This window comes from Homo sapiens, chromosome 9, assembly GCF_000001405.40.
Source record: "Homo sapiens chromosome 9, GRCh38.p14 Primary Assembly".
Taxonomy (NCBI): Eukaryota; Metazoa; Chordata; class Mammalia; order Primates; family Hominidae; genus Homo; species Homo sapiens.
In genome coordinates this window covers 34,398,060-34,416,013 of record NC_000009.12, presented here as the reverse complement: position 1 = coordinate 34,416,013, position 17,954 = coordinate 34,398,060, and the positions used below count along the sequence as shown (strand labels likewise).

The following is a 17,954-nucleotide window of genomic DNA, read 5'->3' as shown; positions in this document are numbered from 1 at the left end:
GGAGAGTCACCTTCTTGCTATCTTGCCTAGGCTGGGTTTCTTATAATGCCTAAGCACAGCATGAAGTCAAGCTTTGGATGGGTAAGGCAGGCTCTAGAACCAGAGACTGAAACCTAGGGAGCACTCTCACCATCTCTTGTGTTTACTTCTTTCTGAACATCAGCTGTATTCTTGTTTCCCTCCCCAATGGCTCTCTCTGTTACCTAATCCACAGTCTTGAACTTTACATCTCCATTTAAGTCCCACTTCCCGATTCTGGGGGAGACTAATTTGCTCTGCCTCATCCAGGCATTTATCCAATTGGGTGGAATCACATAGAACCAGCATAGTTCCTAGAGGCTCACTCCTATGACCATGAAGATGGGAACAGCACCAACTCCCAAAGAAGGAAGGGAAGCCCCAGAGTTTTGCTGCTGTAGTATACGCAAAAGACTCACATACCGTAGAACATTATCAAGTGTTTTTCTCAAGGTGGTGAAACTAAAGGTGATTTGTTAAAATTTTAGCATGTATTACTTTATAGTAGAAAAATCTATAAAACTTTTCATAGCTACAGTTGTTACTAGGCCTGGGGGCAGTAGCACCCTCCACCATTTTGGTTGTCCCAGTGACAGATACCATTAAAGATACTAAGGCTTGGCGGTGCTTACTTTTAGTAATGAATTCTATACTAGCAGCTGTTTAAGCAGTCAGAAAATCCTCAGCTACTCCCAAGACCAGTTGGAGCTCCCAAACTCTAGCCCGAGTGTGATAATCCTTCCCATTTCTTTTTGGTGAACTTGACCATACCCCAAAATGCAAATGCTCTGCAGAAGTGTGGTGTGTGGAAAGAAAGAGTGTTTTCCCAACTGGGGCATCATAGTGAGACCCCCTCTCTAAAAAAAAAAAAAAATTTAGCCAGGCATAGTGGCTATGTGTGCTTATAGACCTAGTTACTCAGGGGGCTAAGGCAGGAGGTCACTTGAGCCCAGGAGGTCAAGGTTACAGTGAGCTGTGACAGCACCACTGCACTCCAGCTTGGATGACAGAGTGAGACCCTGTCTCTAAAAAACTAAAAGAAAAAATGACAAAGAAGGAAACAAAGAAAAGAAAGAGAAAAGATGCTTTCCTCTTCTGCATTCTACTGCCAGCTCATAGTCCAGAGCTGGAGAGTGGACACTCAGTGTGTTGACTTTATTTGAAATGGGTCTTCTTTTAGAGAAAAACTTAGAAGATTTGGGAGATTTAGACTGATAAGAGAAGACTCCCTGGGCCAGCCAGGATTCTCTGCCTTCTCTCCTAAATGTAGGCTTCACAAACTTTCTCTTCAGACTTTCTGTTCTCCCCCATTTGTAAGACCCAATAACACTTGGAGAGATCCTCTCCGTTATGTTTCCCTGATTCTCTTCCAGATCTCCCACAAAGACCTTATCCCTATAAGAAGTCTTTGTCTTTCCCTGTAAGTGGGATCCCTAAGGACCTTTTTATTTTGTTTTATTTTATTTTATTTTATTTTAAGTTCTGGGATACATGTGCAGAACGTGCAGGTTTGTTACATAGGTATACATGTGCCATGGTGGTTTGCTGCACCTATCCCCTAAGGATCTTAATATGTCCCAAAAGGACATAAGTCCTGGCCAATTGCCTGGCTCTGCAGGCAGTGCCTGGAGAAAACTTGGAGAAAGGGAGATGGGGAACAAAAACAGGAGCTACCCAACAGTGGGATTCAGAAATGGCCAATGTGTTGAGGTGTGACTTCAGGTCATACTGCAGAGTAAGAGCTGTCATTGGCCAGATAACTCATATGTTGAGGTGTGGAGTCAGAGAAGATGGGAATGCTTTAGGCTGAATGGACAGCCCTCTGCAGGGAAATAGAGCCATCTAACTAATGCATAGATTGCTACTAACTATTCTTGGACCAGAGGCAAGATTTCTACCCAACCATGAGGACTTAGTGAAGTTAAGTTATACTTGCTGGGTCTCCCTCTAAAAGTTGATACCTAAACATGCTTATTTCTACACACTGCCATGAGATGTTTTGGAATGGAATAGCCCTGAACAGGAAGACCACAGCCCCAAGTTTCTCAGCTGACCAATGGATAAATTTGTGATAAGGAACAGAGCTGGTCTTTGATGCTCTATTTTACTGTGCCCACTTGTCAGAGAGTGGCCTGAGCCACACACCTTCCCTGACTTCCCATTTCTTATCAGCACTATCCTTCCTGGCCCTGATTTCTGCTTTCTGCTTTTCTGTCTATCCTGCCTCCTGCTATTATCCAGGGAAAATAAACAGGTACAGGCACGACTTTATTCCAGAAGTAGCCTTCCAGCATTCTCCAACTCAGAACTGCCTCCCCCAATTAGCCTTAAAACTAAAGGAAAATTCTTCTGTGTTCTGTGAAGAAGGGTTAGATAGTATTGGTATGAGCGCTTTGCTTCTTCATACGTCACTCTAAATCCATTTCCATTTTCATCTTCCTAAGAATTAGTACTTGGAGGTGAGAACAGAGGTCACCTCTTCTTGGGAAGGCTGATATTGAATCATGTCTCTGCCCTGGATTATCATGTTCAGGCCACAAGACAATGGCAAGATTGTTCAGCACCACGGAGAGCGCCTTTCATCCTCGGGACTGGATCATGGCTGGGTGACAGATGAGGATTGTAGCTGAGAGCCCAGCCAGTCTGATCTCCTTCCACTCTGGCCAACTACCAAATATTCCTCTTTTTCCCAACCCCTTAGTGTTCACCTTTTTCCTTTTACTAATGAGTTTTTTTTAGGAAGGAACTCCCCTAACTTTCCACCCCCTTTCTGCCTCCATGTTATCTGATTCCCCCACCTCCCTTCCTCCTTTCCTCTCCTCACCTCACCTTCCTTACCTCCCTTCTGTTTTGTTAAGGAGACTCCCTCCCATGGTCCAAAGTTCTGGCTCCATCTGCTCATGATTCCTCAAAGACCATGCCCCCTCAAACATCTCCTTTTCTACACAGCTTCCTTCCCCTCAGTCTAGGACAGGTCTGGTATTCCCTAGCTCTAAAGGAATTCTAGAACTCTAAAGCTCTCTCTGGCTGCCACCCATTCTCATTCCTTCCCTTCTCAGTCTTGCTCTTTTAAAGAACGGCCTGTGGTCACTCTGTCTGCTTCTTCATCTCCTATTCTCTCCTAAATCCCTTGTCATCTGGGCTCTGTTTCTACTCTTCAGCTAAAATTGTGTTCACTGAGACTACCTATGACTTTCTTATTTCTAAATTTTGTCTTTATCTTATGGACCCACCTGCTTATTTGACACTGTTGATTTCTTCCACCTTGAAACTCTACTTGAATGGTTCCTAGTTCTACTCTTATTCCTCTCTGTTCCTACCCAGTCTCCTTCCTCCATTCATTATCTAAGGTTGGATATTTCCCAGAACTTCACCCTTGGTTTTTTTTTTTTTCACTCCGCTCATTCTGAGAGACTTTATTCTTCACTGTGACTTACATCACCACCAGCCCACACCCATTTTCTGAGCTCCCACACTTCAAATCCTACCAACTAGTGGTATCATCTGGGTGTCCAAAAGACACCTCAAAATTCAACCTGTTCCCAAATGAACTCATCTGATTTTTCCTTAGCAATGCAGTTGTGCCTTCTTCTGCATTTAATAACTTGTCTTAATAATTAGTACTCTTCCCAATTACCTCCAGACAGTAAACTAGGAATGTCCAGACCCTTTGTTTTACATTTTATATCAGAAGCCTGCCAATTCTACTGTTTTTTGACATCTTCCTTTCTGTTCTTTTATCTTCTGCTGCTGCTTGGTTCAGGCCCCTATTATCTCTTGCTGGCATTGTTGCAGTAGTTTCCTAATTATCCTTACCTCCAATCTCACTCCCTTCCCAGGCGTCTTGCACATGGCTATCGGAGGGTCCTTTTCCATCTCAAATCTGACCATGTTACTCCCTGCTTAAGGCTTCATTGGCTCCCCGTCATCTTCTGAGTAAAGAAAAAAATCAAAGCCCACCTTCCAGCATGATCTGAGCCCCCTCCTGACTCCACAAACTTGATTTCCTGCAACTTTTCTCCATACCTTCTGAGCTTCAACTATAGCAAAATGCCGACTATTCCTTGAATGTACTATGCTAGTTTTATGCTTCTGAGACTTTTCACATGTTCCCTGAATGTCCTTACTCCTCACTCTTAAACTAATTGGTGACCTAATGTTTTAAGATCTTTTCAAGTGTCTCCTTTGACCACCCTCCCTTTGTCCCATTCTCTCTACTTTTATATGGCTCTTGGTTACCTTTATTAATAATTATTGGGAACTTCTTAAAGATGGGACTGTTTTCTTTTCTTTCTTTCTTTCTTTTTTTTTTTTTTTTTGAGACGGAGTCTCGCTCTGTCGCCCAGGCTGGAGTGCAGGGGTGCAATCTTGGCTCACTGCAAGCTCCGCCTCCCGGGTTCTAGCCATTCTCCTGCCTCAGCCTCCCGAGTAGCTAGGACTACAGGCGCCCACCACCGTGCCTGGCTAAGTTTTTGTATTTTTAGTAGAGATGGGGTTTCACTGTGGTCTCGATCTCCTGACCTCGTGATCCACCCGCTTTGGCCTCCCAAAGTGCTAGGATTACAGGCGTGAGCCACCGTGCCCAGCCCTTTTTTTTTTATTTTTAAAGACAGGGTCTCAATATGTCAATATGTTGCGCAGACTGGACTTGAACTCCTGAGTTTAAGTGATCCTCCTGCCTCAGCCTCATGTAGCTAGGACTACAGGTGCATGCCAGCATGCCCAGCTGGGACTCTTTTCTATTTGTATTTGTGAGCCCTATCATCATTAAATAAATGAAAGAATTGTATCATGCTGGAGTGAGGGAAGAGAGGAAACAGGGTGCCCTGTGGTCAGGTCTTTCATCACCCTAAGGAGGGCACACCTTTTCTACAGATACCTTCATATATAAGCCAGGCTCCAACCTATGTGGTGTCAGGGCTACAGCTACAGGCCAGCCACTCCCAGGGCACACTGACCATGATAGTATAGGCCTCACTGAACCTATACTAATGATATCTTTACAGTTAACATGGATATAGTGCTAAGGGTATACTATGCTAAGGACTATTCTAACTGCTTTAATACATATTAACTCCTTTCATCCTCACAAGAACCCTTGAACTAGGTATTAGTGTTAGTCCCATTTATAGATGAGGAAGCTGAAACCCAGATTGTACAGCTACTAACTGGAGGAGCTGGAATTTGAACCTAGGCACTCTGGCTCCAGAGTCTGTGCTTTTAACCATTACAATCTTTCTTTCAGTCTGTGTGGCAAGGAGGATGGGATTGTGTAGATTGTCTTCCTTTAGTCAGAGCATCCCCTTGGCACTGAGAGTGAGGTCAGCCCATCCAAGCCATATGTCTGTTGCCCAGTGGAGGAGGAGTATAATTTGAATGTTGGGGAGGCAATCACATGTCTACTGGGTACTTATGAGAATCAGATAAGCTCGTGGATCTGAAGACATACATTAGGAACTACAAGACCCTCTACAAGTTTTATTTTTTGCCACCTAGAGTCCTACCAGAGTAGCCCATAAAAGTCTGCGGGTCATTCAGGAAAGCAGACTCTTCCATCTACTTATCCAGATCCTCCTTCTTAAGACTCCAGGCATGAGCCTTGAAGGTTCCACACTTTGGTTTTTTTCATTTGTTTCCCTTTTTTACCACCCAATTTTATCCTGCTTATTTGGGATCTCTTGGGTCCCAGCCTACCATTGTATTGACTGCACTACCCACAGCTCCAACAAGTGAGGCCAGCCAGCTAAAGACAGTTCATGAGTTGGTACAGCCCTGGGGCAGGGGGACAAGGGAAGAGGTTAATATGCAGACTGATGCTTGGGCCTGCAGGAATGGAGCAGCCTCCCAGAGGGCCTGTCTTTAGCTCCAAGCCCAAATCATGTTCTCTTCCCTATGTCCCTCCCTGCATGCTTTGAAAGGTTATTGACTCCATCACTGACTTTGGGTAAGACACTTCCCCTCTCGGCCCAGGTTTCCTCATTTTTAAAAAGAATGGGTGATGATATTTGTTGAAGCTGTTGATAGGTACCTATGATCTCACTATACTATTTTCTCTACTTGTTATAATTTCCACAATAAAACATTTTTAAACATTTAAAATCAAAAGATTTCAACCTTTTTTAAAAAATAGAACCTTTTCTCCAACCAAAAAGTTGCAACAGGCTGATATATAAATGAAATAAAGGTGAATCTACTCTTATTAAAGGGAAACCAGACCCACATCCTATAGCTTCCCCTTCACAGTCACTCAGGGAACACAGTTTAATGAAAATCAGTGGACCAAACTATTATAATTCTAAGGATTCTTCTGATGCTTTTGCCTTCCTCTAGCTATATTGGCTTTGCACTAGCCATTAGCCTATATATCCTGTCCCAGAAACAGTGAGGCTGGGCTATTAATCATCTCTGTAGTCTTCAGAGAATTTATTTGAAGGGTTGCAGAAACATGGGCTGCTGTTAGAGATGCATTTCAATGTCTGTCTCTGCTGAGTGTTTATTAATAATCTTGTTAATCTCCACTCTAGTTCCCGGATCTAGCTAACGCCTTCAGATGTCCTTGGGGGGCACTTTAAATTCTCCCTGATTTCTTGGAGCCAGGCACTTCCTTCTGCCTGGAGTCTTTTCTGATACTTACATTCATGAATATTTTACATTTAATCTCCCTGATTACATTGCCATGCAATGGTTGTGGTGCATTGGCTGCATTTCTAAGGGAAGACATAGAGGAAGCTCATAGTAAAGGCTTATGTTTGCAGGCACAGTGCCAGAGATCTTTGTGCTTGCCACTAAGGTGGCCTTCTGTCATGGATAGTGATGGAGGAGATGCTGAATGGTGGGCTTTGCATGGGACCCCTCAGCCTAGGGCTCTGCCCCCTGGTCAGGCCCTCCTGAATTGTGGTCCAAAGGAGCTGGCAGTTTCATCCAGGATCAAATACCATCAGGAACTGCCCAGTAGGCCTCAAGGACCACATGTGAGTCCCTGTGACCAGAGTTGCTCAACAGCTTTCTAGCCCTGTCCTTCCTGTGAAATCTACCTCCCATGTTACCATTTATACCCAGTACCTCCAGACTGAGAGAAGAAACTTTGATGAACTCATCTGCACTGAGGAGTAAAAAGTTAGCTCCAAATGTCTAACGGATTGTGTTTTTAAAAATCAGCCCCAGGGAAAGGATGGTGAGGCCTAACACTCTCATGTGATAGATGGGTTAGAAGGTTAAGGAGGAGAAGCAGGATTGAAACGCCACAGATTTAGAAGTCATCAGTGTAAAAATGCCAATCAGAACTATAGGAGACATCAGGGCTCCCCAAGGAGAGAGAGGAGGGCCAAGGGCAGGACCCTACAGAGGAGGCAAAGGGTTGTGGGAGGACAGAGAAATGATAGTCAAAGAGGCAAGAGATGAGCCAAGGGAGGAAGCCTTTTCCAAATGGATGTGGTATATGTGACATGTGACGAATGCTACCAAAAAAGTGAAGGAATGTGACTTGGGACTTAGAAATGTGCCAGTGCTGCCCTGGTAGGGTCCTATCAGCATGTTTATGGGATTTGCCCTTTAAAAAGCCTTCCCTCTGGCTGCTTTGCAGTGAGCAGTCTCTGGGGCTCACAGGAAATCCAGAGCCCAGCTGTCCCATCTCCACCTCCCTTGCAGGTAGCAGCTGCTGAGAGGCTGTTTTGGCTGCAGAGAGGCATGTCAGGGCCACTAGAGGTTTGCTTTTCCAAGGCTGTGCAGGACAGGTGCTGTCTATTAGTCTCTCAAGGAGGTTGCTGAGCCAGGGAGGATGAAGGACTTGAAGCATGGGAAGTTGCCCAAGATGCAGGCACTGCGGCACCCAGCCTCTCTGAGCAAAGCCTCCTGCCCTTCTTCTACTCAGTCAAGGCTAAGGGCTAGGGATCAAAGCAGGAGAGGGAGGCACAGGTTTTGCCCTCAGGAACTTGCAAACCACTGTGGCAACACAACCCACCCAGAGCCTTGTGCTCTGGATGGCCTGAAGGAACACAGACAAGGCCAGGATTTCCCTCTCAAACCTGCTAGACTTTTCCCTTTCCCGTTAGTGACAAGCATGTTTTCATGCCCACTGCCTCATTTTAAAGGGAACAGAAGCCACCATAATGGTTATATATCCTTCCCTTGCCAGGTCACCAGCAACCACTCAGATCCCTGGGCCTGACACTGTGGCAGCATTCTACATGCCCATCTGTCTACTCCCTGCATCCGCAAAGGCAGAACAGGCAGCAGCCTTGGATCCCCTCTGCACTCCTCGCACCTTAGGCTTAGCAATCTACAGGCCCTGGTTAAAATGCAAAGACAAGGGAAGAGGTTAATATGCAGACTGATGCTTGGGCCTGCAAGAATGGAGCAGCCTCCCAGAGGGCCTGTCTTTAACTCCAAGCCCAAATCATGTTCTCTTCCCTATGTCCCTCCCTGCATGCTTTGAAAGGTTATTGACTCCATCACTGACTTTGCGTAAGACACTTCCCCTCTCGGCCCAGGTTTCCTCATTTTTAAAAAGAATGGGTGATAAGTTGATATTTGTTGAAGCTGTTGATAGGTACCTATGATCTCACTATACTGTTTTCTCTACTTGTTATAATTTCCATAATAAAACATTTTTAAACATTTAAAATCAAAAGATTTTAACCTTTTTTAAAAAATAGAACCTTTTCTCCAACCAAAATGTTGCAACAGGCTGATATATAAATGAAATAAAGGTGAATCTACTCTTATTAAAGGGAAGCCAGACCCCCATCCTATAGCTAGGATGGCAGCACCCCTGTCAATATTTGGTCCTCAGAGTCTCAGGGAGAATGTGGATGACTTCAGCCACTTGCACGGCCCTGGATCTTGCAGCAGAGGAGGGTGTTTGGGAGGGGATGGCAAGGCTAGATAAGGACTCTTAGCAAGGTATGGTGGCTCATGCCTGTAATCCTAGCACTTTGGGAGGCTGAGGCAGGCGGATCATGAGGTCAGGAGTTCGAGACCAGCCTGGCCAATATGGTGAAACCCCGTCTCTACTAAAAATACAAAAATTAGCTGGGCCTGGTGGCGTGTACCTGTAGTCCCAGCTGCTCAAGAGGCTGAGGCAGGAGAATTGCTTGAAACCGGGAGGCGGAGGTTGCAGTAAGCCAAGATTGCACCACTGCACTCCAGCCTGGGCAACAAAGCAAGACTCCGTCTCAAAAAAAAAAAAAAAAAGACTCTGGACAACATAGTTCCCAGCCCAATTAGAGATTAGTGAAGTGAAGAGGGCAGTGAGGAGGATGTCAAAAGTTCCAGACTCAGGACAATACACAGAATGTGTGCTTTCCTATCTTCCTGACCATCTGTAGAATCAAGTATTTTGCACTCTGGGCAGCAAAAGACTAACTGGCCACCTGCTGGTTTGTCATTATTTGTCTTCTCACCTACTGTACCTAGCCAACTTTTCAGGTTCTCCCCGGAGACACTCTTTAGGTGTCATTTGTGAACTGGAGAAGTCCTCATTAGAACTATTTTTTTGTCCAGTGGCTGTAGCCTTGAAGGCTGGTGTGGCTTGGTCAGTCAGTTCTCTGGATCCTGTGAAGGGACCTGTCCAGCACAGGGAAACAGAGGGAGAAGACCCATCTCAGACAGCACCTGCTCTCCCCTTAACCCAGACTTAAACTCACAGGAACCTAGGAAGACCTTGCCAAGCAAGTACACAGGAAGGGCCTGAGGGGAAGGGCTACTAGTATGGGAGTTAGGAGAAGGAAGTCCTGTGAGTTTAAAGAAATCATGATGGGCTTTCTGGAGGAGGCTGGACCACACAGGACTTTGAGGACAGACACCAAGTTGGGTGTACATGGAACCCAGATCCTTGGTTCTTCTACCTAGCCCAGTGTTTTTGTCCCACGGTAGATGGGTCTGCCCCTCTCTCCCTGAATGCCCTGCCTGCTCTGAGGGGTGAATGCTCACAGAAGCCCAGAGGGCAGGTGGGAAGGCTAGCTTCAGGACTGAGAGCAGCCCCCTGTCTTCACTCCCTAACAACTCTCTGTCTTACTGCTTTCTCCCCACAGGACCCAGCCGCCGCCTCCATCTCTGACGGAGACTGTGACGCCCGGGAGGGTGAGTCAGTAGCCATGAATTACAAACCATCCCCGCTCCAAGTGAAGCTGGGTGAGTGTGTCTGGGGGGTGAGGGAGATGTGGGGAGTAGGCAAGATACTCTGGGCTGGGTCTACAATGAGGTGCCACAAATAAACCAGCTCAGCCTAGATGATTCCAAGACTCAAGCCTTCAAGTCATTGGCACTGCGAGGCACCTTGTCTCCTGCAGGCAAAGAGGGCAGTTACAGTTCTCTGCAGGAGCCTGAAACTCTAAGAGGCATCTCTGAAGCCAAGAACGTTCCAGGTATTCTGGGGCATAGCTGCAGGGGGAAAAGCATGGAACCCCAGAGAGAGGACTTGGAAGTCCCATCAAACACTGGATCAGGCTGAGAGGAAGCTGCCTTAGAAGTGGGATGTTACTTGTTATGTCTAAGGGATAGAAAGGAAAGAGAGTTCCAACCCTAGAAGCCGAGCCCCTCTCCCGATTACAATCTCAGCCCATCTAGAGATCTCTGGGCCCAGTTGGCACCTATCTGGGGGAGTTTTCCCTTCGTTTCTTAGAAAACCCAAATATCTCCCTTCCTTTCTGGGTCACATTTCCCTTGTGGCTTTGTCTCATGTCCATTCCAAAGTCAGTTTACTGTGCAGCCTGATCCTGTGAAGTCCCCTCGCTTCTGGCCACTGTCCACAGCTCCTACCACTATTGCCCTCCCTTCACCTCATGGGCTGTCCCTCTCCCTTCAGGGACCAAAGTTTCACTGTCTCATGGCTGCTGTATATAACACACTTTTATGAAAACTTTGGTTTCTTGAAGAGAAATTACAAAACAGGACATACAGGAAAGAATTTACAATTAAATATAGGTCATTACTATCCTTCCAAGTTCCTCTGCCATCAAGGCCACCCTCCTGTCCATCCTCCTCCTCAGGCTCCAGCTGCCCAACAATTACTGATGCCTCCTCAGTCCTAAGGGCCCTTTGCCTACAACTTTCTCCTTCCTTTCCACAGAGGCCTGTATTTTATTATTCAACTACTATTTTTTTTTCTTACCTTGCTTGCTTCTGTCCTTCCAGACCACATCCAGGGAGCCCCTCGAGCTGTTTTTCTAAACAAGAATAGTCCTCTCCTTGGAATTTGTTTCTATTCCTAGGACATCAGATTAAAACTGCAGCCAATTTTATTTATCAGGGGTGTTGGTTGTTGTTGTTGTTGTTGTTGTTGTTGTTTTGAGACAGAGTCTCTCTCTGTTGTCCAGGCTGGAGTGCAGTGGCATGATCTTGGCTCACTGCAACCTCCGCTTCCCTGGTTCAAGCGATTCTCCTGCCTCAGCCTCTCAAGTAGCTGGGATTATAGGCGCGCATCACCACGCCCAGCTAATTTTTGTATTTTTAGTAAAGATAGGCTTTCGCCATGTTGGCCAGGCTGGTCTGGAACTCCTGGTCTCAAGTGATCCGCCCACCTCGGCCTCCCAGAGTGCTGGGATTACAGGCATGAGCCACCATACCCAGCCTATTATTGTTTAATATCACAATACAAATATTTTAACAAGCATAACTTCTTTACTCTCCCCCATCACATTCTCCTCCTAAGAGGTAACCATTCCAAGCCTTTTCAGTTTTTGTAGTTTTACTTTGTATTTTAACATAAGTGGTATCATATTGTGCACATTTTCTGAAACTTGGCCTTCCCTCTTCCACCACCTAAATCTTGGAGCTCCTTCCAATGTCATCATATTGTGACTTCATTCTTTTAAATGGTTGTATAGTAGTCTTTAGTTTGGTTTTGCCAGTTTATTGTTTGCTTTTTTCCCACTATTTCAAACAATTTCAGCATGCTTTTAAAATAACATCTTTTTTTCTCCCCATTACATTACCATCAAAGCTCCTCATGAAAATTCACAGCATTGTCCCAGTTGCACCTAGTACCACCAGGAACTTTAAGGCAAATTGCACCCCCTAGAGGCCTGGAGTGGTAATGGCAGCTGCCACCTGCTGGAAAGAAGCTGGGAAAAAGCTGGAATCAGCTGAGCACTGGCAAAGAAAGAGGGTCAAAGAGTAGAAGACAGAGATTCAGAGACATGAGGTCAGGGGAAATTTCCAAGTGAGTCACAGTAGCTGTAAAGGTCCTTCCCATCCTTACCCTCTGGAGCATTTGGCTATTTTATGAGTCATTTTCCCTAGTGTCCCTCTCCACCTAACAGTTCCTTTTCCTAGATCTGGCCTTTACTTGAGATGAGTAGGGAAGAGTAGATGGGACTCCTCCAAGACCCAGGAAGCTACTTCTGGTAACAGTTGTCACATACCAGGCAGTGGACTGGGTCACCTGATGGCCAGCTCCATGAAGCTGGTAGGCTTTGGAACCTTGGAGAACTCAGACCTTGGCAAAGGAGTCAGGAGCACCACTCAGGCAGCGTAGCCAAATGGGCTCCCCCAGCCTTCTGCCCCTTACTTTGTAGCCCCATCCTGCACCTCCCACACCATAACCTTCAGTGGCTTCTTCTTCCTTCTGCGTTAATCCCAAACTCCTCTGTCTGGCATTCAAGTCCTTCATGTTCTGAGTTTGTAACCAGAGAGGGTCTTCGGCCCCTTAGCACAGGACCAGACTTATAATTAGTGACATGGATATTTGTTGAATAAGTGGCTGAATAAATGAATTTTACTTCTCTAACCTGACCTCTCTCTTCACCCCTCTATCCAGAGCCACACTTATGCTCACTTTTAAATGCATTTTTGCACACACTATCCCTCCTTCCTAGAATGTCCACCTCTCTCCAGGTCATGGTGTCACCTAAAGGAAGCCCTCTCTGACTGCGCCATCCTTCTGTGATTGTCTCTCCCCCGCCAGCCTTTCCCTGGCATCAAGTACACACTAACTACCCTAACATGGGAGTTGTGGTTCCTGAAAAACAGGGGGCAGCCTCCTCTTTTTGCCCCCCACTGTCTGCCTCAGGTTGTGCAGGGCCAGGTACTATCTCCACCAAGCAGCAGGGGCCTGGAGTTGGGATCCCTGCCTCAGTCCTTCTAGGAGCAAGTGGTTTCACAGTGGAGGCCCAGCCCAGGCTGCCCTGAGTAGTAAGACAGGGTGGCCTCAGGGGCAGGACACAGCTTCCTTCCCATGTTCTCCTGCAGAGAAGCAGCGGGAGCTGGCCCGGAAGGGCTCCCTGAAGAATGGCAGCATGGGTAGCCCTGTCAACCAGCAACCCAAGAAGAACAATGTCATGGCCCGAACAAGGTAGAGGCCCTCCCTACCCCACCTGGACCCTGCCAGCCAGGACCTATTTCTGCTGGTCCTGAGCCTCCCCCTCTTCCCTCCCTCCTCAGGCCCAGCTCCTCTCTGAGAGGAGACAGCCTTAACAGGATCCAAGGTGGGGAGGGAGGGAAGAAAGTGGTGGGACGGGGCCCAACCCAGTCCCTTGCCAGGTTTCTATGCTCCACTTTGCCACTCTAACTCCCGAAATTCTTCACCTAGGCTGGTCGTCCCCAATAAAGGCTACTCCTCACTTGACCAGAGCCCTGATGAGAAGCCACTGGTAGCCCTTGACACGGACAGGTGTGTATGGGGGCTTGGGGGTAGCTGGGCAGCCCAAAGGAACCTGTATAGCACAAGTGGGCTGTACAGGCCACACCTGCTATATTGTCAGAATTGGGATATTCTTCAGCCAGAATCTCTCCAAGGGTGAATTCTCCAGGGATGGGAATTTTTTTACACCAGGGACTGGGGGTTGAAGAGAGGTGGCAGAGAGAGGAAAGGGGGGCCTGCGTTGTCTGCTGTCATCCTGGGACAACTGATCCAATGGTTGTCCCTAATTGGCCTGTGATGTTGTCTCTGGACAGCAGAATATGATGCTTAATGCCCCATCCCCTCAGGAAGGAGCCCTACTCCCTGGAAAACACCTGGCTAGACTTGGACTTTGGGAATATCCTACAAGTCAGGGTGATTTGAGTCTACAAAAAAAAAAAAAAAGATGAGAAGGGGGTGAAAGGAGTAACTGCTATATTTAGAAGGAGGTTAAGGATAGCAATTGATTTTAAGGGTGGGGCTAGGGAACTTGTCTTTAAAATCCTGCATTTGCACAGCAAGCACAGTTCGTATTGAGATTTTGCTATTTGGAACTGTAAGGGAGGTATAGGATGCTGCCTAATGGGAGGTGGGATTGCAGAGAGTTTTCTATGTAATTTCTTGGTATCACTTTCCCTCTCTTTCCTCCATGGCCAGCGATGATGACTTTGACATGTCTAGATACTCCTCCTCCGGCTACTCCTCTGCTGAGGTGAGCCCCTACCCCTTCTCACCCTAGACACCACCGGGCAGGATCACTGCCATCCCGGGGGAGGGCTGGGGCCAATGCCCAAGTACAAGGAAAAAGAGGGCTGGGCAAGGCTGGGTGGTGCCCTGCACAGGGTGGGCCTGGGATAGGATGGAAGAGAAGTGGTTACTGGCCTCAAGTGCATGGAGCCCAGGGTTAGGAGTGGGGCTTTAGATTGCAGCAGGCCATTTAAATAGAATGGGTGTAAAATACAGGTGATATCCTCTAGTAGCCGGCCTGAGATAGGGGCAAAACCCGAATAGGAGCAGGACCAGAGGTGTGAAGTTGACCATAGAATGGGGAGGGGTGACTAGAAAGAGAGGCCAGAGGCGAAGGAGGGCGCCTAGGCAGGAGCGGGGCCTGGGGGTACAGACAGACCCGGGACAGGGCGGGGCTGATATCCAGGGCACTGGCTGGACTGGGGCGCAGACGGCCTGGAGTGGCCGCAGAGCTGTGGGTGGTGCCTCCCTGCCGCTCGGGCCTGACCTCCCTCCCCTTTGCCTACAGCAGATCAACCAAGATTTGAACATCCAGCTGCTGAAGGACGGCTACCGGTTAGATGAGATCCCCGACGACGAGGACCTAGACCTCATCCCCCCCAAGTCCGTGAACCCCACGTGCATGTGCTGCCAGGCCACGTCCTCCACCGCCTGCCACATTCAGTAGCGGGCGGGGCCACTGCGGTCGCCGGGGCGGGGCCGCCAAGGGCCGGGTAGGACGGGCAGAGGCCGACCCCTTCCCAGCTCGTCTGCCTGCCCCCGGCCCCGCGCCCCTACAGCCGCCAACCTCGTATAACAGTCATTGCTTCCTCCTATGGTAGGACGTGTACCTCTGTGTGTTCATGGAGCTGGAGAAACCAAAACTGGGTCTCTCTCCACCCGGGAGCTGAGGAGGGGTGGGGGCCGTTTGTTCAGTTACCTGGGGGAACCTCACCCAGCACCCTGCCCCGCTTCCCAGGGCTGGCCAAGAGAGAAGACTGGACGGCAGGGAGGTCAACATTAACGAGTGGGGGGATCACAAAGCCAGGGGCTTGGCCCCACCCCAGCGAAGCCATGAACTCCCAAGCCCCGGCCTCAGCCTAACCAGGAAAGGGGCTCGGAGGGAGAAAGGCCCAGGGCAGTGGGGACGGGTCCCAGCACCTCGGAGCCCCCTTCACACGCCCCCTACCGGCCCATGTTTCTATTTGCATTTCCCCCTCCTCAGATGGGAAGCCTGGCAAAGCTGCCCAACCGGGTAGTGCCCCTCACCCATCGGATCACTGCCTTCTTCCTCCTCTTGCCCCATTCACCCGCTTCCTTGCACTCTGGGAGTGGGGCAGGGTAAGGTGGGCCTTACAGACAGGCTGAGGTTTGGGTGGTGTGATCTGTCCTAATTGGCCCCTCACCAATGCATCTATCTGTCTGCCACCAGCCCACCCCACCCTGCCCCCACCCTCACCCACGCTTCTGCTCATTGGTCTCAATCCCAGCCTGGAAGCAGGGAGTAAGGCTGGACTCCAATGGCCCATTCCCCTCACCCCAGCCCAAGACGTGGGAGGCTGCTTCCCAGTAAGAATCCAGGAGCAAGCTTTGGTGAATCCAGTGGGCTGAGTGGCTCTATGGATGTGGTTGTTTGGATGTGGTAGGGAGTGCTTAGCAGAATGTGTGTGTATCTCTGAGGCTGTCAGGGGGTGGGTGGGTGTGTGTCTCTGTTGGACCTGTCTCTCCTCAGTCTATTCCTGTCATAGATGTGGGTGTCCCTGGTAGGGAAGTGCCTGTGTGGTCTGTTTACAGTGCAGAAGGCGGCTCAGCAGTGCAATGGGCTGACAGCCTTGGACCGGGAGTCAGAAGCCTGGGTTCTGGTTGTAGCTCTGGCCCCTCCCTGTGATCTTCAACAAGCCACTTGCTTTCTCTCGTCTTCAGTTTCCTCAACTAGAAAATGAACAGCAGCTGAAATTATGTTGAAGATCCTTTTATACCTGAAAGAGTTTCTTCATAGAAATTTCTGTGGTGGGGAGGGGGCAATCTCTGTGTGTCTCAGTATACCTAAAGGTTGGGGTGGGGCGGAGTTGTGTGTCTCTGTAGAAAGGCGAAGGGGCAGTTCCTATCAGGACTGTGTATGTCTGAGCACATGTGGCTCTGTTTGGGATTACGTGTTTGTCTGTGAATGTGTGTGTGTGTTGGAGGGTTGTCTATTGTGTGTGGCTGTATAGGGTGTCTGTAGATCAAGATGTGTATACAGCTGCTTCTGCTATTGCTGGTTTGGGGGAGGGGACTGGAAAGCTGAGACTGAAAATCAAGAGGGAAGAGGTGAGGAAGGCCCACCCCTGGGGCTGGGCAGTGTAGACCTGCCACCGTGTGAAGAAAAATGAAAGCACAGATAGCCTAAGACTGCACAGGCCTGTGCCCACATACCTTATAGCACAGGCCCAGGTGGATCATCTCATGCTAACACCCCACATGTGCTGGTGGATCCACTCCCATGGATCCACTCACATGCTGCAGGCATGCAGTAGACTCACCCACAGCCCACTCTCTGGACACCAATCCTGGGAGGTGGGAGCTGGAATGGGGAGCAATGAGAGGAGGGAGTGAGACTGTTGGCTTAGGAAGGGTGGTACCTCTCCCTGCATCATACCCAGGAACTGCCAGCTCCAAAATATTGGGGTACAGCTCACCACCCCCCACTCCGCCAACCCATTCCTACCTCCTCTAGTGCAGGGACCCAAGTTAGATGATGAGAAAATGCCAAACAAAGGGAGGCAAGGACAGAGAAGGTACCTGCAGGACCCACAAGGCCCATACTGGCCCCCATCTGAACCCACCTCTCCCACCCAGATCAACATCCCCCCAACCCCTGTGCCCCCATCATCTGGACCCCAGAGCCAGCCCTCCCACTACCACCACCACCACCCCGGGGCTCCTTGGCTCACCTTTCTAGAACATGGGTACCTCCTCTTTTTGGGGGCTCATTTAGACTGCTGCCTTTGCTGCTGACTTGCAGTGTGACTCGGGCCCATTGTTCAATCTCTGTGGCCCTGAGACACCAGGGAAAATCTCCCCCCCCACAGGACATACTAGTTCCCTGGCAGGCAAGGGCTTCCAACTGAGGCAGTGCATGTGTGGCAGAGAGAGGCAGGAAGCTGGCAGTGGCAGCTTCTGTGTCTAGGGAGGGGTGTGGCTCCCTCCTTCCCTGTCTGGGAGGTTGGAGGGAAGAATCTAGGCCTTAGCTTGCCCTCCTGCCACCCTTCCCCTTGTAGATACTGCCTTAACACTCCCTCCTCTCTCAGCTGTGGCTGCCACCCAGCCAGGTTTCTCCGTGCTCACTAATTTATTTCCAGGAAGGTGTGTGGAAGACATGAGCCGTGTATAATATTTTTTTTAACATTTTCATTGCAGTATTGACCATCATCCTTGGTTGTGTATCGTGTAACACAAATAATGATATTAAAAGCATCAAACAAGCCAGCCTCAGCTCCCTCCCTGGGGTGTGGGCAAGGGGCAGATGGGCTGGGAAGCAGACAGAACTGGTCCTCTGGGCACACATGTTACTCCACCTCCACCTGTGGGTTCCCAGGCATGCCACTGACCT

The 17,954-nt window shown here is 48.7% G+C and overlaps 1 protein-coding gene across 6 annotated transcripts in view; it reads left to right on the top strand.

Annotated features, from left to right (window-relative positions):
* FAM219A (family with sequence similarity 219 member A) overlaps nt 1–17,830 on the top strand; it is a 60,387-nt gene extending 42,557 nt beyond the window's left edge. For 2 of the 6 annotated variants that reach the window (NM_001184945.2, NM_001184943.2), the window contains exons 2-6: nt 10,050–10,098; nt 13,207–13,309; nt 13,547–13,627; nt 14,294–14,348; nt 14,895–17,830. In NM_001184945.2, coding sequence (NP_001171874.1) covers nt 10,050–10,098; nt 13,207–13,309; nt 13,547–13,627; nt 14,294–14,348; nt 14,895–15,050 — 444 coding nt within the window. In that variant the 3' untranslated portion in view covers nt 15,051–17,830. Of the gene's footprint in view, nt 1–10,049; nt 10,150–13,206; nt 13,310–13,546; nt 13,628–14,293; nt 14,349–14,891 lie in introns of all 6 variants that reach the window. The other 4 variants (NM_001184942.2, NM_001184941.2, NM_147202.2 and 1 more) reach the window with 3 other exon arrangements.